This window comes from Homo sapiens, chromosome 6, assembly GCF_000001405.40.
Source record: "Homo sapiens chromosome 6, GRCh38.p14 Primary Assembly".
Classification (NCBI taxonomy): domain Eukaryota; kingdom Metazoa; phylum Chordata; class Mammalia; order Primates; family Hominidae; genus Homo; species Homo sapiens.
Window position 1 is genome coordinate 8,066,464 of NC_000006.12, and position 27,180 is coordinate 8,093,643.

The 27,180-nt window shown below is 39.9% G+C and overlaps 1 protein-coding gene, 1 long non-coding RNA gene and 1 other non-coding gene across 4 annotated transcripts in view; all 3 read right to left on the minus strand.

Moving 5' to 3' along the window:
- Positions 1-27,180, minus strand: part of EEF1E1-BLOC1S5 (EEF1E1-BLOC1S5 readthrough (NMD candidate)) — an 89,029-nt gene that overhangs the window by 52,897 nt on the left and 8,952 nt on the right. Inside the window, exon 3 of the long non-coding RNA NR_037618.1 lies at positions 23,723-23,818. This is a non-coding gene — a long non-coding RNA (EEF1E1-BLOC1S5 readthrough (NMD candidate)). The remainder of the gene's footprint in view (positions 1-23,722; positions 23,819-27,180) is intronic.
- EEF1E1 (eukaryotic translation elongation factor 1 epsilon 1) overlaps positions 6,897-27,180 on the minus strand; it is a 29,189-nt gene continuing 8,905 nt past the window's right edge. The window contains exons 3-4 of one of the 2 annotated variants that reach the window (NM_001135650.2): positions 23,723-23,818; positions 6,897-7,047 (exon numbers count right to left, since the gene is read on the minus strand). In NM_001135650.2, coding sequence (NP_001129122.1) covers positions 7,012-7,047; positions 23,723-23,818 — 132 coding nt within the window. In that variant the 3' untranslated portion in view covers positions 6,897-7,011. Of the gene's footprint in view, positions 7,048-12,931; positions 13,568-23,722; positions 23,819-27,180 lie in introns of those variants that run through there. The other variant, NM_004280.5, reaches the window with a different exon arrangement.
- SCARNA27 (small Cajal body-specific RNA 27) lies at positions 19,945-20,070 on the minus strand. Its single transcript, NR_003703.1, has one exon.

Here is a 27,180-nt window from a genome sequence, read left to right on the forward strand (position 1 = left end):
TGTTCTCTCTCCGCTTTTATATAAATCTTTACACTGCGGCTCAGACAGCTAGGAGACTGAGAAGCAACATTGGCAGTGCCATTTCGCCTGGCACATTCAGCTGCTATGAGTGTGTCCTTGGTCTTTGACCCATGAAATCTCAAGAGTTTTGAGGCTAAAATGGGACTCTTATCCTTTCCCTGAAGGTCTTGTATTGTCTCTTATTGTCTCTGGATTGACAAGACTTTCCCTGTATTTTTAAATGAAATTTTTATTGAGGTATTTGTAGCTTCTCATGCAGTTGTAAGAAATAATAGAGTTTCCTTTTACACTTTGCCTAGTTTCCCCCAGTGGTAACATTTTGCAAATGCTAATGTTACAACCAGGATATTGACATTGATACAATCCACCAATGTTATTCAGATTTCACCAGTTTTCCTTGTATTCATTGTGTGTGTATATGTTTAAGTTTATGCAATTTTATTACATGTAGATTTATGCATCTATCATCACAGTCAGCATACTGACCAGTTCTGATGCCATAAGGATCTCGTTAAGGTTCCTGTTTATAACCACATTTACCTTCCTCCCTGTCCCCACCCTGACTTCTGGCAACCTATCATCTGTCCTCTATTTCTAAAAACTTTTTCACCTCAAAAATATTATAGAAATGAAATCATACATTAAGTACCTTTATGTTTTTAAGAATAGCTGTACTCACATCATAACCTCTATACAAGATTGGAGAATCAATATCATATACAAATATAAGCATGGGATTGTAAAGGGATTTTTCCAATTACTGTGCTTTTTGAGACTCAAGACATCTAAATCATGGAGATATTGTCAATTTAGTAGAAGTAAAGTTCTGACTTTGGGGGAAATTTTTTGCTGTAATCCCATGTTGAATCTTTTGAAAATTAAAAAATAAATGAGTTATTACATGTATACCAAGAATAAAATTATAATTTATTCCTTAGTATAAGCCCATCAAGGGGAACCATAATTGGCACAGGGTGGGAGATAGAGGGACTCCTAAGTTTATTTTGTGTTCTATCACATCCACTCCATGAGATTTCCTCTGCAACATCTTTTATTGACATTATTTCTTATTTTTGTTTGTCTAACCTATTTTAGAAATGGGTTAAAAAATTAAAAAATGCAAAAACTGATTAAAGCAAAGGAGGAGAAAAGAGTAGGTGGTCTTGCTGGGCGTGGTGGCTCATGCCTGTAATCCCAGCACTTTGGGAGGCTGAGACGGGCGGATCGCCTGAGGTCGGGAGTTCGAGACCAGCCTGACCAACATGGAGAAACCCCGTCTCTACTAAAAATACAAAATTAGCTGGGCATGGTGGCACATGCCTGTAATCCCAGCTACTTGGGAGGCTGAGGCAGGAGAATCGCTTGAACCCGGGAGGCGGAGGTTGCGGTGACATGAGATTGCACCATTGCTCTCCAGCCTGGACAATAAGAGCGAAACTGTCTCAAAACAAAAACAAAAAAAGAGTAGGTGGTCTTTTGGGTGAGGTACTAAATATTACTGTGTAGCAATCTCATAACATTTTGGAAATGCGGCCGGGTGCGGTGGCTCACACCTGTAATCCCAGCACTTTGGGAGGCTGAGGTGGGTGGATCACCTGAGATCAGGAGTTCAAGACCAGCCTGACCAACATGGTGAAACCCCATCTCTACTAAAAATACAAAAAATTTTAGTATTAGCACCGGGTGTGGTGGCAAACACCTGTAATCCCAGCTATTTGGGAGGCTGAGGCAGGAGAATCACTTGAACCTGGGAGGCGGAGGTTGCAGTGAGCTAAGATTGCACCATTGCACTCCAGCCTGAGCAACAGAGCAAGACTCTATCTCAAAAAAAAAAAAAAAGTTTTGGAAATGCTTAGGGCACACTGGACATGAAAGCCAGTTTAGTGTGAAGTAGCACACTTTGTATTAGCATTAGCGGTCTTCTAGGCTGAAGCAATTTTATAATCCAGTGCTGAATCTTCCTGTACCAAATGCTGCTAGTTCCCCCTAGAGAAGCTTCTGGTGTAGCTCCATCATTTGGAGAACACGCAGGGCTTACTGCAAGAGCCACTAGAAAGTAACTGCTCCGGTGACAAAGCCAACCCATTGGAACACAGAATGCATTCCATCCACCACCCTGGGCACACCTTCATTAAACTGGACTCAGCTGTGCAAAAAGACAAAAGCATGAGTTGTTGTGTGCATGCAGCTAGCTCTACGTATGCCTGTCACCTAAGCTTTGGACACGTGTAGTACAGTGGTTCTCATGGTATGGTCATCACAGCAGCAGTATTAGACTCCTCCTGAATCAGAAACTCAAATTGGATCCCAGAAATCTGTGGTTTGAGAAGCCCCAGGTGATTCCCACGCATGCTAAGTCTGCGAACCAGTGCTTTATTGCAATGTCTATTACCTGTTTCCTCAGCATCTGATAATGAGAGTCAATGATAGAGTTCTTTTATCCAAGTGACAGGGTTCAAACCAAATGGTGAAAATGGTCAGGAACTGGAAACTTCATGAGGTCAAAGAGTTTAAAACTTCTAAGGGTTTTTATGACAAGGTATGTGTGTTGCAGAAGGTCAGGAAAAATGGGGATGGGGGAGAAGGAGAACTTACATTACATGAACAGACTAGTTTATCGACTGCACCAAAGAAGCTTTGGAATTTGTAATCAGGTGGCTGGAAGTTTCTCATCTTGCTCAAAGCAAGCCTGTGGCCTTATTGTTTAGAGCTATGCCTTGTCAAATTGGTCGTATGGCTACTGTATTTCAAGCTTAACTTGGACAGACAGGCCTGCGAGGCACAAATTTCTCAAGCAGATGAAGGTGGGGAGAACAAAAATTATCCACTGCAAGACTTCGAGGACAGATGACACCCAGCAGGAATGGCAAGCCAAATCTGCAGGAGCCATAATACAATTGGCTAGCCCTAGGGACCTGGCCTCTTTGAAGTGGAAGAGACAGCACGAATGAGCCATTAAATTAACTCACTGTGCTGGAAAAGATGCAATGCTTTCATTACCCCCAAAGAAACAAAAGTTTAAAAGATTAAAATATTCCTAAAGGAATCATGATAATGGAAGCAGAAATCCTTGAGATAACAGCAAAAAAATGGCCAGCATCTCAAATTCTCCTGCCTTCCTGCCTACCTTCTTTTGGCCTCCCTTCCTTAAGTGAAAGATGAGTTTTGCTAGATTAGGTAGCAGTTGGAATTAGTTTTATTTGCTAGCAGTATTGGGAATAAAGGCAAAGCCTGCAGGAATGTGGGCGCCAGCAACAAGTAATCATTATTGCAGAATCAAATTCCTCATCTCATCTCTGATATGCCTCTGTGTAACCCTAGAGCTGGGCTTCACGGTGTTATAAATCCAGCATACAAGACACAGAGCAGTGGGATGTGGAGCCCCTTGTGTATCTAAAAGCTCTGCCCAGCAAGAGAGATATATGACGGTAACTTTCTCCCCATTGCTTTTGCAATAAAATTCACCCAGTGCTCCAGGAAGAGTTAGGAATGTAATTCCACTTCAATAAATCAAGACTAAAATTAAGATGGCCAGATATGTAGCAGCCTGCTCAGGTGTATGGAGAATTTGAAATTTAGTGCCCTGGTAATGGGCAGTAGCAGATTATCTAATTATACAGAGAAAGAAGAAATACTGCTCTCTGGGGTAAAAAGCTAAATGCTCTAATCCATTAAACTACCACAGCCCTGCCAAAGCTAGATTCATATTAAAGTTCATGCAACATCTGACTTTTTAAAAAGGAATTAAGTCAAATGTTAGAAAAAAATATAAATGAAAAAGCTGTAGTTCACAATAATTCTAATTTGACCACTTGTCAAATAGTGTATTTTATCTTTGGGTGTGATGTACATGTACCTGATTATAATAGAGCTCTATTCCGTCGTAACAATATAACCGCTTAAATTTTTATCAACATATCTTGAAGCTATTCTGGGCAGACTTGCTATTCTGAATGGAATTTCAGCAGGGCTCTCATGAATTACATTTTTTTTTTTTTGAGTCGGAGTTTTGCTCTTGTTCCCCAGGCTGGAGTGCAGTGGTGCGATCTCGGCTCACTGCAACCTCTGCCTCCTGGGTTCAAGCGATTCTCCTGCCTCAGCCTCCCGAATAGCTGGGATTACACACATGCACCACCACACCTGGCTAATTTTGTATTTTTGCTAGAGACAAGGTTTCTTCACGTTGATCAGGCTGGTTGTGAACTCCCGACCTCAGGTGCTCTGCCCACTTTGGCTTCCTGAAGTGCTGGGATTACAGGCGTGAGCCACCGCGCCTGGCCACGAATTACATTTTTAAGGGGGCACTGACAGTATGATGCGCTGGCAGTGGATGATCGTTCACATTCATTCCACTCCTCCCTTCCTGCCTTCTTCATCCCTGTGGGAGATCTAATGTGCCTATTACTGACTGTGGTTAACCGTGGGCTCAGGTATAATTGGGTGGGGTAAGTGGGAGTTTACCAGTACTGCTAGCAAATAAACTACTACATATCTGGCCATCTTAATTTTAGGTGTAACTGGGAGTAACCATGAGAATTCCTATATATCTGCTAAAAGCCTTAGTGAATAATCTTTTTGCTGAACTGGGGGTGGGAGATGGGGTGTTTAACTGGGAAGTCGGGTCATGGATGGATGATTATGTCATTCTTGGAGCTATGTCACCTTTTCTACCATATTGTGATAGTCATTGCTTGGGAAGAGACTCACAACTGCAGAACTACACAAAATACTTCATGATCTCTTGGATGCTTGGGTATAAGCATGGCTGTGGTTGTTTGACATTGTTCCCATTCTATAATTTCTATTTGTTTTAAAACTCGTTTTTATTCTAATTAATGAAAAAGCTCACAGACGTTTGACTGAAGAGTGATTCTTCCCTACTTGGAATTTTTGGTCTGTTCCTAAAAGTTTCACATGGAATAGGGACATGTGTCTAATCAGGGGAGTTGAATCAAATCCAGTGAACATGGCAACAGATGGTCTTCTAACCCTGAAATCATACAGTTCCCACTTCAGTCATGGTCTAACCAAGGTGGTGGTTAGCATGTGGGTTAGTCTCTGCCTCCTCTCTAGCTCCTAAATTAACATGAGATCATATTAATGTTGTAAAATTCCCATACAGAGCTCAGAACATATTAAATACTCAGTAAATGATATCTAATTATTTACTTTCAAACAATGCTGAGTGGCTGGCAGCCTCCCAAAGAGTGCTCTATATACCGTTTCAGGAATGTGTTCACAGACCATTGGATTGTAAACTTTATGAGGGCAGGGACGTGACTGCGTTATCTGCAGGGCCTAGCAGAGTTCTGTTACACAGTATGACCTAAATAATATTTAGATTATCATTGACTGGTCAGTGCTGTAGGCTTCTCGGAATTACAGAAAGAAAATCCTTGGAAAGGGGCTTTCACTTTTCAGAAGGAAGAGCATTCACAAAGATAGCTGCACTCTCTTCTAGACAGGTCGCATCAATCTTTGTTTTTTTTTTTTTTTTTTTTTTTGAGACGGAGTCTCGCTCTGTCGCCCAGGCTGGAGTGCAGTGGGGGGATCTCAGCTGACTGCAAGCTCCGCCTCCCGGGTTCACACCATTCTCCTGCCTCAGCCTCCTGAGTAGCTGGGACTACAGGCACCTGCCACCACACCCGGCTAATATTTTTGTATTTTTAGTAGAGACGGGGTTTCACCGTGTAAGCCAGGATGGTCTCAATCTCCTGACCTCGTGATCTGCCCGCCTCGGCCTCCCAAAGTGCTGGGATTACAGGCGTGAGCCACCGTGCCCAGCTAATCAATCTTTGTTTTTAAGAGACAGGGTCTCACTCTGTTGCCCAGGCTGGGATCCAGTGACACAATCATAGCTCACTGTAATCTCAAATCCTGGGCTCAAGTGATCCTCTTGCTTCAGCCTCCCAAAGCACTGGGATTACAGGTGTGAGCCACCACACCTGGCTCATTGATCTATTAGAAACAAAATAAGAAAGACAGCATGGTCCTTTTTTCCAACAGCTTGAAAAGTGTGAGAACCAGAGACTTTTTTTTTTTTTTTTTTTTGAGATGGAGTCTTGCACTTTCACCAGGGTTGGAGTACAGTGGCGCGACCTCAGCTCAGTGCAACCTCCGCCTCCTGGGTTCAAGTAATTCTCCTGCCTCAGCCTCCCAAGTAGCTGCAATTACAGGTGCCTGCCACTATGCCCAGCTAATTTTTTGTATTTTTAGTAGAGATGGGGTTTCACCATGTTGGCCAGGCTGGTCTTGAACACCTGACCTTGTGATTCATCTGCCTCATCCTCCCAAAGTGCTGGGATTACAGGCATGAGAGACTTTTAAACTGGTAAGTAATGTAAATTCATGTTTTATCAAAATCCCAGGATGCTCTGCCACCATTTTTATCTCAGGCTCACATGTTGAGCAAGTTGGTACCTCAGGGATGATTGGCAGGTAGGAAAAGTCTTAATAATTTGGCTTTATGATTTTACAATCTTCCATAGCAGTTTGACCTTTACTCATAACTTTCTACATATTAGGCACAGTGCTGAGTAATTTTTATATATTCCCACTGCAAATTAAATGAGATCAGTTGTCTTTACCCCTATTTCATATGAGGAATTCCATGTGCAGTGACTTGAGCAAGGTCTCATAATTAATACATGATGAGGCTGGTGTGCTCGACTCCACTGCTTCCCCACCCCCAAATGATTTAATGCTGTAATTCACATATTACAACATTCACCATTTGAAGTGTACAAGTTAGAAGTTTTCCGTATATTCCCAGAGTGGTGCAACCATCTCATTTATTCTTAAAATTATGTACCCATTTATTTTATCTAATACCTAGGGCAGGTTTTTTCTAGGTTGGTAAAAACTGATTCCACAAGTTAATTAAGCAGAATTTTATGGCACTCCATGTAGAGTAGTTTACAGGTAAGTTTGAGCCAGACATTTGTGTTTGAATCTCAGTTCCTTGATCTCAGTTCCTTGTATGATGTTGGGTTAGTTCCCTACCTCTGTGTGCCTCAGCTTCCTTATCTGCAAAAGGGGATAAAAAAGGAGTTAATTCACTTAAAGCACTTAGAATAGTGCCTGATACACACTAAATGCTCAATAAATGTTATCTATTATTGTTGTTATTAAAAGTTTTAACAGATATTTTAAAAAGTATTAACAGATCTTCATAACTGAATACTACAGAATCGTAAAATTAGCTCTGAATCATGAAAATTAAATTGTCAGTGAAATGTGGTCAGTGGAAATTGTATTATATCCCAATTCTTTGCAAATTGATGATCCATGTGATGTCAGCAATGTATTAACAAAATATCTTATACAATTGATCATTTGGCACTCAGAAGGCATTTTCCCATTTAAGCATTACTCACTGTGACAGAGATAGCTGGTTGCCTATGCAGTATCCCTTTTCCTTCTTTTCTCATTGACAGAGCAGAGCTTTATTCTGGGTGCCCTCCGACTACACATCTGGCCTCCTCCCAGCTGGAGTGGCCAAAATTGTAAATCAATACAGCCAAACAGGGCTTCCAGGAAAGGCCCTTCAGGGGAATTGATAAGGTTGGGAGAGAAGCCTTTTGCTGTCCCCCTCTTGCTGTTTCTTTGGGTCTTAATCAGACTTGATGTCTGGAGTTCTGACGTTAATACTGGACCATACGTTGAACTTAAGAATGGAAACCACTCGTTCAGCATGGAGTAGCAAAAACAGGAGCTGGATGCTTCACACCAAAGGTGGGCTAATTTCCTAACTTCTTTTACATGAGAAAAAAACAACCCACCCTGATGTTACTGGGCCTTTCTGCAATATACAGCTGTACTGATAACATATACGTGTAATTTACACTTATACTTTTCTCAGTCAGCTCAAAAGGAATGTACTGAGCTCAGTCAGCTCAGTACATTCTTTTACCAGATTGAGCACCGACTGTGGTGTGCCAATGATTGTTCTGAGGGCTGGATAAGCAAGGGAAAATATAGTCTCTGCTCTCAAGAAATTACTAAGCCCGGCGGAAGAAACAGATAATCAAAAACAGTACAATGATGCCAGTGCCAGAATCAGGGGCCAGGGGTGGGACAGACTTGACTTCCATGAGGACATTGACAAAGCAGAATACTGAAGAGGTTACCAAGTGAGAAGGAAAGGGCATTTCAGGCAAGTGCCTGACAGAAATGACCCAAGAAGCACAGTAGAAATTCTACAAGGAAATGAATTGTTTTGATCTGGATGCTGAGAATATGATCTAACACTTGGCTGCAGAAGCCAGGTCTTCATCTTTCGACCATCCCTTCATCCTCCAAGATCTAAGTTAGTTGCGAGAAGTCCTGGTACTTGGTGGTACCAAGTAATACCTGTTCCATCAATGTTGTGCACAATAAAGAATTGCCTAGCTGACTGAGGGATTCAGAGGAGTAAGACACAGGAAGAAGCGGGAAGAGGGGTCGCTTGACAAAGAGGTGGTTTCCCTCTCTGGCCTCCCGCTCTTTCCTCACTGCTGACCTAAAATGAAGGAAAAGAGTGAAATAGTTGGGATGAGAATGCTTGGTGGCCTATTTCCTGTTGCCTCTATCTGTCCTGCTTCAATCCTCCTGCTGAATGGGGGGAGAAGACAGAAGTGTTGGGGCTAGGTGTAATTTGCAGCAGTGAATCATGATGTGGCATGCTTATAGCAGACCGAGTGGTTAGCATGAAAGGTACACAGACTTGACCTACCCCTGTAAGACACATAACAACTCCCATAATTAATTTGAACCCTGTAGTCTCCGAACATACAAATACAAATTTACAGTTTTTAATTTAAAGACCATGTCACAAAACTAAAAATACTCCTGAGGGCAATGAATTGTGAAATACATCACGTAAAAACTGTCTTGATCTGTTATAATATACAGGAAGATGTGAAAGAGTGTGGGTTCCTTTCTAGACCACCACAATAAAGTATGACAACAAAGTGAGTTGCACAAATTTTTCAGTTCCCCTGTCCATAGAAAAGTTACGTTTATACTCTACTGGAGTCTATTCGGTGTACAACAGCATTATGTCTAAAACCACAATGTATGCACCTTAACTAAAAAAAATTTTATTGCTAAAAACAGCATTAATGATCATCTGGACCTTTAGGAAGTCAATCTTCTTGCTGGTGGAGGGTTTTGCCTCCATGTCAATGGCTCCTCATTGATCAGGGTGGTGGTTGCTGGAGGTTGGGGTGGCTGTGTCAATCTCTTAAGACAACAATAAAGTTTGCCACATTAATCGACTCTTCCTTTCAAAAGACATTTCTCTGTAGCATGCAATGCTATTTGATGGCATTTCAACCAAAGTAGAACTTCTTTCAAAATTGAAGTCAATCCTCTCCAACCCTGCAGCTGCTTTGTCAACTAAGCTTATGTAATAGTCTAAATCCTTTGTTCTCATCTCTACAGTGTTCACAGCATCATCACTAGGAATAAAGTCCACCTTAAGAAACCACTTTCTTTGTTCACCCATAAAAAGCAACTCCTCATATGTTGAAGTTTTATCAAGACTGCGGCAATTCAGTACCATCTTCAGGCTCTGCTTCTAATTTTACTTCTCTTGTTATTTCCACCACATCCGTAGTTGTTTCCTCCACTTAAGTCTTGAACTCCCTCAAAGTCATCCTTTAGAGTTGAAACCAACTTCTTCCAAAGTGCTGTTAATGTTATATTTTGACCTCTTCCCGTGAATCACAAATGTTCCTAATGGCATCTAGAATGCTGAAATGCTTTCCAGGTTTTCAATTTACTTTGCCTACTCCATCAGAGAAATCACTATCTATGGCAGCTATAGCCTTACAAAATGTATTTCTTTCTTTCTCTCTGTCTCAATTTCTTTCTTTGAGAGGGAGTCTCGCTCCGTTGCCCAGGCTGGAGTGCAGTGGCTTGATCTCGGCTCACTGCAAGCTCCGCCTCCCGGGTTCATGCTATTCTCCTGTCTCAGCCTCTGGAGTAGCTGGGACTACAGGCGCCCACCACCACGCCCGGCTAATTTTTTGTATTTTTAGTACAGACGGGGTTTCACCGTGTTAGCCAGGATGGTCTAAATCTCCTGACCTCGTGATCTGCCCGCCTCGGCCTCCCAAAGTGCTGGGATTACAGGCATGAGCCACCACGCCCGGCCTACAAAATATATTTCTTAAGTAGTAAGACTTGAAAGTTGAAATTATTCCTTAATCCATGGGCTGTAGAATGAATGTTGTGTTAGCAGGCATGAAAACACTGTATTTATCTCCTTTTTATCTCCATCAGAGCTCTAAGGGTAACCAGGTGTATTGTCATTGAGCAGTAATATTTTGAAAGGAGGCTTTTTTCTGAGCAGTAGGTCTCAACAGTCGGCTTCAGTAAACCATACTGTAAACAGATGTGCTGTCACCCAGGCTTTGTTGTTCCTTTTATAAAGCACAGACAGAGTAGATGTAGCATGATTTTTTTTGTTTTTGTTTTTGTTTTTTTTTTTTTGAGATGGAGTCTCGCGCTGTCGCCCAGGCTGGAGTGCAGTGGCAGCGATCTCGGCTCACTGCAAGCTCCGCCTCCCGGGTTCACGCCATTCTCCTGCCTCAGCTTCCCGAGTAGCTGGGACTACAGGCGCCCGCCACCACACCCAGCTAATTTTCTGTATTTCTAGTAGAGATGGGGTTTCACCGTGTTAGCCAGGATTGTCTCGATCTCCTGACCTCGTGATCCGCCCGCCTTGGCCTCCCAAAGTGCTGGGATTACAAGCATGAGTCACTGCCCCTGGCAAGATTTAGCATAATTCTCAAGGGCCCTAGGATTTTTGGAATGGTACATGAGCACTGGCTTCAACTTCAAGTCACCAGCTGCATTAGCCCCATATTTAATAAGAAAGTCAGTTGGTCCTTTGAAGCTCTGAAGCCAGGCACTGACTTCTCTCGAGCCATGGAAGTCCTAGGTGGCATCTTCTGTTAATAGGCTGTTTCATATACACTGAAAATCTGTTGTTTAGTGTAGCCACCTTCACCCATGATCTTAGCTAGATCTTGCAGTCTACGTTAGCACTTGCTGCTTCACCTTGCACTTGTGTTATGGAGATGGTGTCTTTCCTCAAATCTCATGAACCAATCTCTGCTGGCTTGGTTTCAAACCTTTCTTCTGCAGTTTCCTCACCTTTCTCAACCTTCATAGAATCGAAGAGAGTTAGGGTCTTCCCCTGGATTAAGAGAATGTTGTGGCTGGTTTCATCTTCTATCCAGACCACTCAAACTTTCTCCCTACCAGCAATAAGGCTGTTTCGCTTTCCTATCATCTGTGTGTTCACTGGAGTAGCACTTTTATTTATTGATTTATTTTGAGACAGGGGCTCACTCTGTTGCCCAGGCTGGAGTGCAGTGGCACAATCACGGCTCACTGCAACCTCAACCTCCCAGGCTCAGGTGATCCTCCCACCTCAGCCTCCCAAGTAGCTGGGACTACAGGCACTCCACCATGCCTAATTTTTGTAGAGACGGGGCTTTGTCATGTTTCCCAAGCTGGTCTTGAACTCTTGGGCTCAAGTGATCCATTTACCTCCACATCTCAAAGTGCTGGGATTATAGGCATGAGCCACCACACCCAGCCAGCACTTTTAATTTCCTTAAAACTTTTCCTTTGCATTCAAGTTGGCTGTTTGGTGCAAGAGGCCTAGCTTTCAGCCTGTTTTGGTTTTGACATGCATTCCTCAAGAAGCTTAATCATTTCTAGAGAGAGATGTGCAACTCCTCCTTTCACCTGAGCACTTAGGGGCTACTGTAAGGTTATTAAGTGGCCTAATTTCAATACTCTTGTGTCTCGAGGAAGAGGGAAGCCCAAGGAAAAGGAAAGAAGGGGAACGGCTGGTCAGTGGAGCAGTCAGAACACACACAACATTTATTAAGTCTGAAGTCTTATATGGGCATGGCTTGTGGCACCCCAAAAATAATAACAATAGTAACAAAGATCACGGGACACAGATCAGTTAACAGAGAGAGTAATGAAAAAAATTCAAAATAATGTGAGAATTACCAAAATGTGACACAGAGACATGAAGCAAGCACAAGCCGACGGAAAAATGGTGCCAATAGTCTCGCTCGAAGCAGGGTTGCCACAAACCTTCCATGTGTTGAAGATGAAGATGCAGTAAAATGAGGCATGCCTGTGCCCACACACCTGGCCTGTGAAGTCTCCTGACTCAGTCACTTCAGAGACAAACATGGGGGCCTGTTACAATCCTCATTTTCTTATAAACAAAACAATCATGATTTGCCTGGAGAAGAGAAAGGAAACTAACCTTACTGATTGCCAAGAGCTACATACTAGGCTTTTTTCTTCATGTTGTCTACTTTAATCCTAATTTAGCATTATCTTTTTATTTTTAGAAAGTAAGAAAATATGATTGACTGCTTTGTTTAAAGTTCTGCTAGAACTTTGAAGGGTCCACTGGTCAGACTCAGCATCAACACCAAAACATTAAGTAGCATTAAACGGGAAAGCCCCCGAAGACCCCATTTTTCTCATTATTTGTAAAGATAAGGTCTTTAGCTCTATGATAACTATTATTTATTCAACCAGCAAGTTATAAAATATACAGATCTTTTAATAAAGTGCCTCTGTTCTTCACACAGCACTTTAACAGTAGTCTTTCCATGAGAGTTGGCTTTCAGTTTAAAAAAATCTAGTAATTAAAAATTCAAAATTAGTGGGACAGTAAGACTTTCCCATCTCTTTTTTATTTTCCTCCTTACAGGAGGAAGAATTTCCCATCTCTTTTTGGCCACTGCATATTACAATAAGCCCAACAACAAAAAAGAATCATTAACTCAAGAGGAATGTATCTTACTCCAGTTTCCCGTAGGGCAGTTCAGTAGTTAGTTTCACCCCAATGAGTACTGACTACAGAAAGAAAGAAACAACGAAAAAATATTTTTTCAACCACATTTACTAGCTCACATAAATATTTTAAAACAAATCCATCTGTCTTCCCTTTTGGCTTCCTTGGCACAATTTATCAGTTCTTAACAAACTACCATAAATATCCATAAGGGGAAAATGAATTTTAGAATATGAAAGAGAGGTTAATAAATAGCCAAATATGTCAACCATTGAAATGACCACCAATTTTAAGATTAAGCCCGATTTGCAACTTTTATTGAAATAAATGTCATCTACTAAAAACAAGGTTAATTTATAACTGGATCTCAACTTGTTTAATAGCAATTGAATTTTGACATAAAAATTGCAAAACTTCAGCTAAAGAACAAATAAAACATTCAGACACAAGTTTACACTTCAAAAATTCTATCAACTTCAACAAATAATGAATGACTGTATATTAATTTACATTAGTCCTGTGGTCTAGAGTACATTTTCCATTTAAAACATTTTTAATAGATCTTCTGTATGGCATGGACAGCTTCTAGTGGGAATTAGTATATAGTCTGTTCTTGATGAAGACAACACTAGACAGATGTTGCCTGATGCCTGGATAATGCTGAATGTGACAAAACCAGCGAGACACATTAAGATATTTCTCCTTTTCTTGAACTGTCAGGTCAACCTAAGTAGAGATTAAAAACATACACACACAACACAGATGTTACATAAGCACAACTGTTAATATCACTTAAGTAGGAGATAGAAGTTGAAAAACAACAACATCAATCCCCCAAGAGCTCTCAAAAGCCAACATATTCAGATAGGAGTAAAAGTTTCAGCCCAGTGAACACTGACTTATAAAGGTTCTTCGTGTTCAATGTTATGTTCAGTACAAAACCTGATGTCCTTCCTGCGAAATACCAAGTTTTCAACAAATGCAAAATTTACATTAACTGAGGATTTGGAGGTCAAATAATTTGTTTTTTACTTCATTGGAAAGGAAGATAGATTAAGATACAGTTCTTTCTCTGGTATTCTTTAGTAAACCTAAAAAAAGGAAATGATCCATTTCAAGTCAATATTGCTTAATATAAGGAGGGGCTACTTCCAGTGGTGTGTGACTCAGATGAAGGAGGCTGAGTAAATGCATGAGAACAGACCTTCATAATTCTGTTTGCAATAAAGCTGAACTCAATCTTTTAGTGAATGGAGCAGTTCACCCAATTTGCTATCAAGCTACAAGAATGCTCAGAGATTTGGTTAGAGAGAGACGTGATACAAACTGCAGGTGCTTATCATTTCACTGGGCTCAAATTCCAAAATAGGTGACTCAAAGACTTTTCTCTAAGATAAACTTTAGAATTATTGAGAGTTATCAGGTAAAGAGAAAACCAGTAGGGCAGTAACTTGCAGCCATGACCCCATGAATGGGTGGTGTCGTTCCTTCTCCTAAGTCACATTTACTTAACAGATAGTGCAAGTCTCTATAATGCTGACAGGAGTGTTTGCAGAAAGAAATAACTCAGCCACCCTACAAGCGCTACAAACCCCCCAGCAGCCTGCTTGTTGGGAGACATTTTTAGTGAGATGAATGTCCTTTGCTTTTCAGCATTTAGCACATACCTGTTCTGCAGACAAGCATTCTGCTAAGTTACCAGATCACCAAAGGTGAAGGATAAATCACTCCACATGCAGTAATTATTACAGAATACAAAAGGATATTAACAATAAAATTAAAAAGTAGGCAGTATTTTCTCATTAAATGTTTATTTGGACTCGTATTTGTTGGCTTGATTTACTTAAGTTGTTACCAGGGAGAATCTTCACTGCTTCTGTTTCAGAAAAATTTAAGTTTCAGGTTTTAGTGATACATACTTAAGTCCTACACACAAGCTGCTCTAGCACATTATAAAAACATATTCATCTTGTTTAAGGTTGTGTCTACTTAGAAAGATGTTACTACAACTGTCTCACCTATAACATAGTCAGTCCATGGCACAGAGATAAATAACACATCAGTCAAGAAAACTGGTCAAGTATGTCTTTTTTAACGTAAAAGTTTAATTTTTATTATGAAAATTCATGGTTTCACATGAAAGAATTACATTAGGCTAACTGGTAGATTCAAACTGAAAGGAGCATCTACCTGTCAGGTGTGTTTTCATAGGCAGCACTTAATCTGTGGAATAAACTGAGCATCAGTCTATATTTCAAAAATATTTTGAAAAATATTTTGTAAAAGAGCATTTTGTTCTTTTTCTAAATCTTTACCATATATAAACCTCAGCAAGGACTTCAAAAGAAAATGTACGATTTATTAAAAGCTCAACCAGTAATAAAAAGAGCTGCAAATCTAACAAGAAATGGGAGCTTTCTTACCAAAAATGAATAAATGAATGAATAAAATTCAAAATCAACTTCGACAAATCTCTTTGCTGATAGTTAAAGCAAACAGATGTAACAATAAGTTTTACTCCAACTTGATTTCATGTCAGCTGCTGAAATATATGATGATTCAAATCTGACCTCTTTCTTACCATTTTAGTCCTTTCATCGCTCTTTCATTTCAGATAATTCTCCACTCAGCCATTTGGTAAAGCATTTCCAAACAATAGAGTACTAATGCTTGTTTATGTTCAAGTTGTTCACCCAGATTTTAAACTAGGTAAAAAGGGCAATGTTATGTGTGATATTTGTATTTCAGAACAGCATTTGGTGTCACTGAGGACTAGTATAAGTTGCTTACAGGCCTATTATTTAAAGAAATACTAACATACAGAACACAGCAAAATAAATATTCTCCAACTTAAACATTTTACATTTGGAGTCTCTAGAGTCAGGATTATCAACAGACTCACAGTAAAAAATAGTTTTTATTCCAAGAGCTCCTAAAGCTTCTAAAAATTCCTAATTTATTCCAATGATTTATTTATTATTATTATTTTTTGAGACAGAGTCTTACTCTGTTGCCCAGACTGGAGGGCAGTGGCGCGATCTGGGCTCACTGCAACCTCCACTTCCTGGGTTCAAGCGATTCTCCTGCCTCAGCCTCCTGAGTAGCTGGGACTACAGTCACATACCACCACACCTGGCTAATTTTTTGTACTTTTAGTAGAGACGTGGTTTTGCCATGTTGGCCAGGCTGGTCTCGAACTCCTGGCCTCAAGTGATCCACCAGCCTCGGTCTCCCAAAGTGCCTGGATTACAGGCATGAGCCACTGCACCCAACCCCCTATTCTAATAATTTTTAACTAGATGATCCATTTGACAATATTTTTAGATGATCTATTTTAAGAATGTACATTTATTCATTTTTCCCTCAGGAAACTTTTGCCAGAAACTCACAGAGTTTTTCAAAAAGGATGAGGTTACGGTTACCACTTTCACCTCTTTTTACAGTTTAAACTTTGGAACTTGTCCCTTTGAGTCTGAGATAATTATGAATGACCTTGACTTGTTAACTCTGCTACTTTTTTGGAAGACATTCCCTATATAAACTTACTGTAAACAAAGAAATGAACAGATTTCTCCCCTCACCAAATTTACAGATTTTAAAAACATTTCTGATGGGATCTCCCAGACTATTTCACTTACAACACTGGTTTTCCACCATCCCTTTCTAGCTCAAGTTCTTTTTCCTTTCTTACAACAGGAAACAATGCAATTGTTCTAGTTGCCATTTCCTGCTTCATGTTGATCTGCATGCCAGTGTGTCTATAGTGGTGCTTGGCTCTTTCTGCCTAATAATTCCTTTTAATTTATATTGGCACTCTATCATGACTTTGAACTTTAAAGCCAAGCAGATAATATTCTGAATCACTAATTTTCCATGAAGTCATGTGAGAAACACTTTAAGTGAACCGTTCCGGATCAGGGTGACACGCTGCTTTGCTACCTTTCCAACTGGCACCACGTTGCCGCCTTTGGGACATTCTTTAGGGCCAGTGCTCCTGGACTATTTTGCAGTTAATTCTTTTATTTTTCCTTTCCTTATAAAAGAACCACATGCCTCCAATGGTGCTCCAAACTTCAGAACAAAAGTATTTCAGTTGATAGCAATCTTACAGTCAAGCAGCACATAATATTACAAAGGATTTTAATAATCTTGAGTAACAGTCTGTTCACAGGGATGACTATCTCCTAGTGAAATCACTTTAAGAAAGCAGTGAGTCACTGGTGTTATAATAAACAGCCACACTAACAGGCAGTATAACAAAGGAAAGGCAACATAATATTCCTCAAACGGAGTTAAGATAGACCAGATCTTAGAATAACTCAGCCATGACTAAAATTGGGCTCACAATGAAACAAAATACAGTGGAATTATCTGATGACTCGAAGGTTCCTTGACTGCTGTTTTGTACACTGTGCTGATTACATATTCCGTATTGAATAACGTGAACAAACAAATTAAGGAATGCACGAGGACAAAAATAAATAATATTGCCAAAGCAAACAAAGCACGAAGACCTGGTAAATATCAGCAGGTGGCCAATCTGCACCTCACACCCACCCTACCTTAACACCTAGAAATCATTTATTCCACATCTGTATGTATTTGTACCCAACTTAACTGGAATGTCATTTAACACCACAGTGCAATTCTGCCATTGTGTAGGTTTTAGTCTGTGAGGCCTGTTCCTTGAGAAGGTGTTTATTTCTCTGATTACTTTGCCTGCACTTGGACTAGAGTGGGAGAGATACTTTGACTCATGATAGGAACCCAAAAGGATGGTCAACAGTGATTTACATATTAATCTATTCAATTTCACTTTGAAAAAGATAAGGATATCTTTAATCATAACATCCTGGTCACTATATATGAAGATGACATACATTCCAAAATACAAAATGTAAACACATACAGAATGCTAAATATTATTAATGTAACCCTAACTTTAACATGCTGTACTGAATGAAACACTTCTAACCTGCCTAAAAACCAAGTACCCTCCAGTGCACTTAGACTCGTAATTAAATAACTTTGCAGCTAGTGCTATGAATATTTTGCACTATAGGATTATGACCTTATTCATTCTGCTGGCAAAGGAATTCCAAACAAGTTCCCTCCTTTTCCGAGTATTTCTTTTCCCTACTGCAAAACCTGCATAAGCTAGAGGAAAAGAAAATTTAATTAAACACTTGGTTTATGAGTTACACTTCAGTATCATCTTTTTTATTTTTAATTAGATGTAGAAATACTCTCCTTCTTAATGACAGCCCGATGCTACAGCAAGCAAGATCTTGTGGGTCTGAACAGACGTTCACTAGCCTGCTGGCTGTCATCACAAAGGACGACTGATGATATTTTTCCTAATATAAAGCTTAAAAAGTTAAATGTCAAACCATATGTCACATTTAAATATATATTTCGTAAAAAGCCAACAAGTTTGTTATTGTGGTTTTCAGATAGAAATTGTTCTTGGAGCCCTGTTGGGTAGCCATGCTCACAGCAGCACAGTCTCACTAAAATGAAGTACAGACTCCCTCAAGTTCAAAGACTGTGTTTAGGCTGCCACCAGGAGAGAGATGCTTAGATACCTTAGCAGCAAATCCTCTTTACCTTGCAGGCTTTTTTTGTTTTGAAATGAGGTAAGTTGTGCCTCATGATCATTTTAAATTCGAAAAGCTACTAAAACATATTGAACCTAGCATGGAATAAAAGAAGGTGGTAATCAATGTACTTCAGCTCCAATAAACTTTCTCCACATTTAAATAACATTACTTATATTACACTTTCACTACAGAGATAAAAAATCTGAAATAGGAACTATAAATAGGTACCAGTTGTTAAATATTGCTTTTATTTATTTTTTTAAGACAGGTCTCACTCTGTTGCCCAGGCTGGAATGCAGTGGTGCAATCATGACTCACTGTGGCCTTGACCTCCCTGGGCTCAGAAGATCCTCCTACCTCATTCCCCCAAGTAGCTGGGACTACAGTCACAGAGCTACCACGCCTGGTTAATGGTTTTTTTTTTTTTTAAATAGAGACGGGTTTTGCCCTGTTGCCTAGGCTGGTCTTGAACTCCTGGGCTCAAGCTATCTACCTGCCTCAGCTTCCCAAAGTGCTGGGATTACAGGCATGAGCCATCATGCCCAGCCTTAATATTGCTAATCTCAATAAGCATTTAGCTGCACAAGGCACTGTTTTAAAAGCCAAGAGGGGATGAACAGAAATAAGACAAATCCTCTTTGGTCTCTTATTTTGTGTAAATTGAATCATATTCTTTGTAAGTATGGGGAATATTCATTCTACTTCACTCCTGTTGTCCCAATGTAATTATTAATAGGCCTCCTTTCACAGCCAAGTGTTTTGGATGAGAAATCATGTGGTCGCCCTATTTACAAAGAATATTTGTAATCAAACTTATCATAAGCTTTCCAAAACAATGAAAATTCCCTTAGACAGCCAAGGCCATCCAAATCTTCAGATATTTTTCTGACAATTTTCTGATTCTGTATTCTACTTATCTGCCTCATGCATTAATAACATAATATTCTGACCAGAGATTAGCACTGGATTCCATTTTCTCTACTTCATTAATTGCTTTCATGTAAAACAGTCTAATTTCTTCAATAAGATTAATATGCCCCTGAAAATAGTTTTATACTTCTGTTGTCTCCCTCTCAAGTATGGCATAGTGGGCATACACAGTGGGCTCTCAATAAATCATTTAAAACTCATAATAGTTTTACATTAAATTAAGGATCATTCTAAGCCATTACAATAATGTTACAGAATTTAACATAATCACTGAGGGATCTTTGAGGAACAATTCAGAATAAAGTCAAGTAAATTCAAACTGAGGGATTATAGCTTGAGTAGGGAACTAATAACTGTATCCTGCATTATTACGGTACGTTTGCGGGGTGAGGGGAAACTAAAAGGAATCCACTTCTATGACTGTCATGAAGCCCAGGAGTTCTGGAGGGAACTGCATTCCATTCTGAATTTTCTGGTTACAATCCCTGTCTTCTCTCTTCAACCTCAACTGAAAACCCATACTCAAGAGGCCTCAATCTGTGCCCTCTTATTCTTGGCAAATGGCAAAACCAACTATGTAGGAGGCTTTTTCAGAGGAGAAAACGACTTTGTTTTTCCAAAAGACAAACCCTCCACTTTGCTTTATGAGGCAGATAGCAGCCCCAAACCATGGATAGGTTGGGGCCTGCGCAGACCTCAATTATTACGGTATTTTACAGTTTATAAGACAAAGAGCTTCCCCACACATTAAGACACTTCAGTCAGAAGATCTGAAAGTTTGGCCCTTCCAAAAACTGAGCGCCGTGCCTTTAAACCACTCAAGTTTCCTAAGCATTAGTTTCTTTCTCTGTAAAAGAAGGCCAATAACACTGGTCCTATTTCCTTCTTAGTGATGAGGTACAGTGAGAAAGTATAGAGGAAACTCCTTGAAAAGCATAGAGAAATACGTTTAAAAATTTATTCAGTGTTTATGGAGGGGTGACCACCTACACATGCCAGGAATTACCTCAGACAATGGTGTTACAAATATGTGTCGCTACAATCATTGAGTCAAACAGCTTATAATTTAGAGAGATTTTCAAAGAATTACAGTAAGAGTGAAATGAGCTAGACCCGAAGTGTACATGAGGTACAAACACACACAGAGGAAGGAGCACCTCAATGTGGTTTAGGCGCCTGAGAGAGATGCAGCCGAGGAATGAGTGGGAACCGAGAGATACTTGGGAAATGCAAATGAAGTGGAGAGGAAGGGAAGGGCTGGGACCAGGGAACAAAAGAGAAGAGTAATGCAAGGATGCTGGGTAGAAACAGCCCAGCATACAGCAGGCTCTGGGGCACATGTTGTGGCTGAGAGAATGACGGGAAGGAGGATAGCAAGGGAGGCAGGAGTCAGATGAATTAAGACAGGGTTTCACTCTTGTCGCCCAAGCTGGAGTGCCTTGGTGCGATCTCTGCTCAGGGCAACCTCTTCCTCCTGGGTTCAAGCAATTCTCCTGCCTCAGCCTCTGGAGTAGCTGGGATTTCAGGCATGCGCCACCACGCCTGGCTGATTTTTGTAGTTTTACTAGAGATGGGGTTTCACCATGTTGGCCAGGCTGGTCTCGAACTCCTGACCTCAGGTGATCCACCTGCCTTGGCCTCCCAAAGTGCTGGGATTACAGGCGTGAGCCACCGCGCCCAGCTAAGTTTTGTATTTTTAGTAGAGATGGGGTTTCGCCATGTTGGCCAGGCTGGTCTCAAACTCCTGACCTCAAGTGATCTGCCCGCCTTGGCCTCCCAAAGTGCTGGGATTACAGGGGTGAGCTACTGTGCCTGTCTGAGTTGATTATTTTGAGAAAGAAAAAGACACGGTCATGAGAAAGACTGCTCCAGGGGCCACCAAGCTCATCTCTTACAGTCCATCCTCTTTAGATGAACAAAAGATTCTAAATACTGGAACTTGGGCAATGTCATTGGATCACAGGAAAAGACACATGTGAGAGGCATTTAGGAGCTGGAAATCAGGATCTGATTGACTGGATGCATGAGGTGCACAATGCACAAAAACACATGAGTTCTTTTTTTTCCACAGGGGGAAGATGGGTGTTGGGGTGATGGGGAGTTGAGCCAAGCTTGTAGGCAGAGAGATGGTCATAACAAAGCACATATTCTGGGGCCAAAGTGTCTGGTTTCTGGACCTCGTTCCACCACTTACTTGGGCAATCTCAAAGAAAACACTTGACCTCTCTACGCCTCAGTTATCTCATCTGTAAAATGGGGCTATTATTAGTGCCTACCCTATATGGCTGTTATTAGGATTAAATGAGTCAACATTTGTACAGCATGAAGAACAGTGCCAAGAACATAGTGAGTATCATGTCATCGTTCATGAACAAATTTAAAATAAAGAGACTGATCATGTAGGTAGTGGACAAGATTGAAGGAAAAAAAAGGAAATACAATCTGGAGCAAGATCCAGAAAAGGGGCAGGAGGCAGAGAGGAGATTCAGGTAAGAGGCCAGATGAATGGTGATATGGTTTGGCTGTGTACCCACCCACATCTCATTTTGAAATGTAACTTCCACAATTCCCACATGTCACAGGAGGAACCTGGTGGGAGGTAATTGAATCATGGGGGTAGGTCTTCCCTGTGCTGTTCTTGTGATAGTGAATAAGTCTCATGAGATCTGATGGTTTTATAAGTGGGAGTTCCCCTGCACAAGCCCTCTCTGCCTGCTGCCATCCATGTAAGACATGACTTGCTCCGACTTGCTCCTCCTTGCCTTCCACCATGATTGTGAGGCTTCCCCAGCCACTGTTAAGTCCATTAAACCCTTTTTCCTGTATATATATTACCCAGTCTCAAGTATGTCTTTATCAGCAGCGTGAAAATGGACTAATACAAATGGTTTGGCCTAGGAAAAAGGCAAGGCTGAGACCAGGAAAAGGAGACAAGATAAGACAAGGATGCACAATCAGGCAGGCTGGAAGATGAAGGGATTCAGATGAACAGCCTCCATTTTTCTAGCCGAATAATGGAGGAAGGCTCGGTGATAAGGACTAAAGATAAAGGAGGAGGGAGAAGGAAGGGGCTTAAGGAAGGAAGTAAAGGTTTGGAAGTATCCCTGGGAGAAAAAAAAAAAAGGAACTGAGCCAGTATGAGAGCCCAGCTGCAAATGGATAGTAAACATTTTTAGTGGCAGTAATCTACAGTGTTGTAATTTCTCCAGTAGAGCTCAGCTTGGATCTTGGATGTAAGAATGAAGACATTTATTTGGACTGGCCAAGAGCCGGGAACTTACAGGGAAAGGGTGGTGACTGTAGGGTAAAGCAAAGGAGCTGAAGATACTAAGAGGACGTAGCTGAAGTTACACAAAAGGGGGTCAGGTTGGGTGGGGAAGAAAGTATACAGATTTGGAAAAGAGGAGTCAAATTACATCAGACAGAAATTAGACACTAAGAGATCAAAAGAGCTAAGATAAGCGGTGTATTAGTCAGGGTTCTCTAGAGGGACAGAATTAATGGAATACATAAATATATAAAGGGGAGTTTATTAAGTATTAACTCACACAATCACAAGGTCCCACAACAGGCCATCTTCAGGCTGAGGAGCAAGGAGAGCCAGTCCGAGTTCCAAAACTGAAGAACTTGGGAGTCTGATGTTTGAGGGCAGAAAGCATCCAGCACGGGAGAAAGACGTAGGCTGGGAGGCTAAGCCAGTCTAATCTTTTCATGTTTTTCTGCCTGCTTTATGTTTGCTGGCAGCTGATCAGATGGTGCCCACCCAGATTAAGGTTGGGTCTGCCTTCCCCAGCCCACTGACTCAAGTGTTAATCTCCTTTGGCAACACCGTCACAGACACACCCAGGATTAATACTTTGCGTCTTCAATACAATCAAGTTGACGCTCAGTATTAACCATCACAAGTGGTTACACAGAAGATGGGGTACTGGAGTTAAGATCTAGAGGTGGAATGGTAGGAATATGGGGCCCAGGGGATGATGACAAAACCTAAAGTGTGGCTGGAGAAGTCACTGCTGAAGAAGGGCAGAAGCATAGGAAAAAAATCAAGGTCAAGGAAAAGGAAGCAACTGAAAGGAATTCCTTTCATTTTTATCTGATAAGCTGAAAATGCAAATCTGATTTAAATTCAAGACAAAGTTTTTTTAAATTTTATTATTATTATACTTTAAGTTTTAGGGTACATGTGCACAACGTGCAGGTTTGTTACAAAAGGCACCTTGTATAAAGGAATTCCTTTCATTTTTATTTGATAAGCCAAAAATGCAAATCTGATTTAAATTCAAGACAAAGTTTTAAAAATCATTCTCAACACTACAGAAAAAAAGCCAGTAACTATACAAATACTCACTATAAAGCGATGAAGTCCATAGTACAATAGTATATCTGCTAATGTAAAGTTATACCCTGTAAGGTAGACTTTATCTTCAAGATATGAATTAAGATCCTAGAAAAAAGAAAAAACAAATAAATATTAATGTAAAAAACAGTAATAATAAAGTTAATTATCATATCATGACTTAAAAGATTTAGGCTACTAGAAAACAAAATATTGCCATTTAATAAATTTACTCTTTGACATTAATATTCATTCAAAATCACAAATAATACGCCAGTCACCTCATTTTAAAAAAATTGGCTAAACATTACTAGTCTTAAATAAACAAGAAAACATTAGAAAATGATATTCAAAGTGCCATCTATGATCATGTTAAAGTCTAGCTTTTTGTTTTTGGAAACATTTTGTTACTCATGCTCATTAGTTACACTTATTTTTTCCATTAAAATACAAAAATTCCCCAACAATTTCAATCTCTTTAGAGAATTCTAAGAAACTCTATATCCATGAAACAATAATTCACCCATTTCCCCTTGCCTCTAGGTCCTGGCAACCACGATTCTACCTTGTTTCTATGAATGTGACTACTTTAGATACCTCATATAAGTGCAGTCATAGACTATATGTACTTTTGTGACTGGCTTGTTTCACTGAATGTAAAGTTCCTCCATGTAGCATGCAGCACATGTCAGGATTTCCTTCTTTTTTAGGGCTGCATAATATTCCACTGTATGTACAGATCATATTTTATCGATTCCTGTGTCTATAGACATAGTTGTTTCCACTTCTTGGCTACTGTAATGCTGCTGTGAACAGGAGCGTACAAACATCTCTTCAAAACCATGCTTTGAATTCTTTTGGGTATATACTTACAAGTACAATTGCTGGACCATATGGTAATTCCATTAATTTCTTGAGGAAGTGCTATTCCTGCTTTTCATAGCAGTTGCACATTTTACATTCCCACCAACAATGCACAAGGGTTACAATTTCTTCATATCCTCACCAACACATGTTGTGTTGCTCTGTGGGATTTTTTTTGGTAGTAGCCATCCTAATGGGTGTGAGATGATATCTCACTGTAAACATGATCTACATTTCCCTAATGATTAGTGATTCCAGCATCTTTTCATATGCTTGCTGGCCACTGGTATATCTTCTTTGGCTAAATGTATACTAAAGTCCTTTGCCACTTTTGAAATCAGGATATTGGGTTTGTTTGTTGCTGAGCTGTAGGAGTTCTTCACATATTCTGAATATTAACCCCTTAACAAACATATGATTTACAAATATTTTCTCCTACTCTATGGGCTGCCTTTTCACTCTGTTGTCTCCTTTGATTGTGTCCAGAAATGTTTAATTTTGACATAGTCCAATTTATCTATTTTTACTTTTGTTAGAGGTATTTTCTGGCAGAACAGCATGAATACGTCAATTTCCTGAGATGGAAAATGTTGGCTTCTCTTAAAATTAACACTTAATTTAGCAGAACAGGAATTTACATTGAATTATAGTCAATTAAGTGAAACAACAGATTCATAAAACCTTCAGAGAAAGGTTTTGTAAATGAGTTATATGAACTATTATTAAATATTCTTTGAGGCTCCTCTAAGGACTAGATATAAAAAACTGTCCAGTGATGAACAGCATTTATTCTAGAAGAATTCCTTAAACTATAGAGAGGGCATTTTGTTCCGATTCTCAAATCACATCTGTCTTAGTCCACTTGGGCAACTATAATAGAATACATAGACTGGGTGGCATGTAAACAAAAGAGATTTATTCCTCACAGTTCTGGAGGCTGGAAGTCTAAGATGAAGGTGATGGCAGATGCAGTGTCTGGTAAGGGCTTGCTTCCTGGTTCACAGGCAGCTGTCTTTTCACTTGGTGGAAGGGGTGAGGTCTCTCTCAGGCCTTTTATTAGGGCAATAATTCCATTCATGAAGGCTCTGCCTCCAGGACCTAATCACCCCCAAAGACCCCACCTCCTAACTCCATAACTTTGGGGGTTAGAATTTTAACATATAAATTTGGGGAGGGGGAGTCAACCATTCAGACCATAGCAACATCCCAAAGTATCTGGAATATAGTGGTTCAGCAATCAGTAAAAAATGTTTGCAGAATATAGTGGTTCAGCAATCAATAAAAAATGTTTGCAGAATTGAATTTAATCTCTTTGAGTTTGCAAACAAAGTTAACATGATACATACTCAACATGAAGATAATGATGAAGACCTTTATGATAATCTACTTCCACTTAATAAAGAGTAAACACATTTTCTCTGACGATTTTCATTTAAAGACAGTCAGTCATTTTCAAAATGGTATATGAATATGAGCCCCTAAAGGTGGTACAGATAAGAACATAAAGGAATATGGACACAAATGAGACAGGCATGGAAGAATCAAAATAAAATTTGGCTGGAAAGGGTAGAATGTATTGGTATATTAGGGACTACCACTTAAATTTTATGGTACTCTGTTGAATGGAGATGATTTCTCTCCAAATATCTTCAGAGAAATCAACTTTGAGAAAGTACAAGAAATAAAATATCTTCATTAAATTTCAAATAAAATAAATACATCTTCATTTAATTTCAAGAAGTATTTAAAGACCTGAAACAATAACAGTTTTGTATATTTTTTCCAAAAACAGAATCTATATCCGTGTTTTGTGTTTTAGTGATAAAGACTGCTTTTTTTTTTTTTTTTTTTTTTTGAGATGGAGTCTCACTCTGTTGCCCAGGCTGGAGTACAGTGGCGTGATCTGGGCTCACCACAACCTCTGCCTCCAGGGTTCAAGCGATTCTCCTGCCTCAGCCTCCTGAGTAGCTGGGACTACAGGCACACAACATGACTGGCTAATTTTTTGTATTTTTAGTGGAGACAGCGGTTTCACTATGTTGGCCAGGCTGGTCTCAAACTCCTGACCTCGTGATCAGCCTGCCTCGGCCTCCCAAAGTGCTGGGATTACAGGCGTGAGCCACCGTGCCCGGCCAAGACTCTTAAAAATGTAGTTTTTATAAACTATGATTAGGTAATATTTTCTGGGTTCATGATATAAATAAAATCTTTACTACCAAAAGACAGAGTTTCACACACATTCAAAATATTCACAGATGAGAACTAATTATGTCTGACATTCGCTTCCTTTTTTTTTTTTTTTTTTTACAATTCTTTCTGATGCCATTGTCAAACTGTTAAATACTTCCCCTACAATTCCACCTGATTTTTCTTTTTCCTTCCATCTATTAAATTTTCTAATAATACAAAAAAGTTGAAAAAGCAGTAAAATAAACAACTATATACCCTCCATCTAGACTCAACAAATGTTAGTGTTTTGTAATGCCTGCTTTTTGAAATTATATACTACCTTATTTATGAGGCATTTAAACTTAGCATTGTGGTTTTATGGTTTTACCACTGAAATGGCACTTTGACAAATAAGAATTAAACCCTTTCATAATATC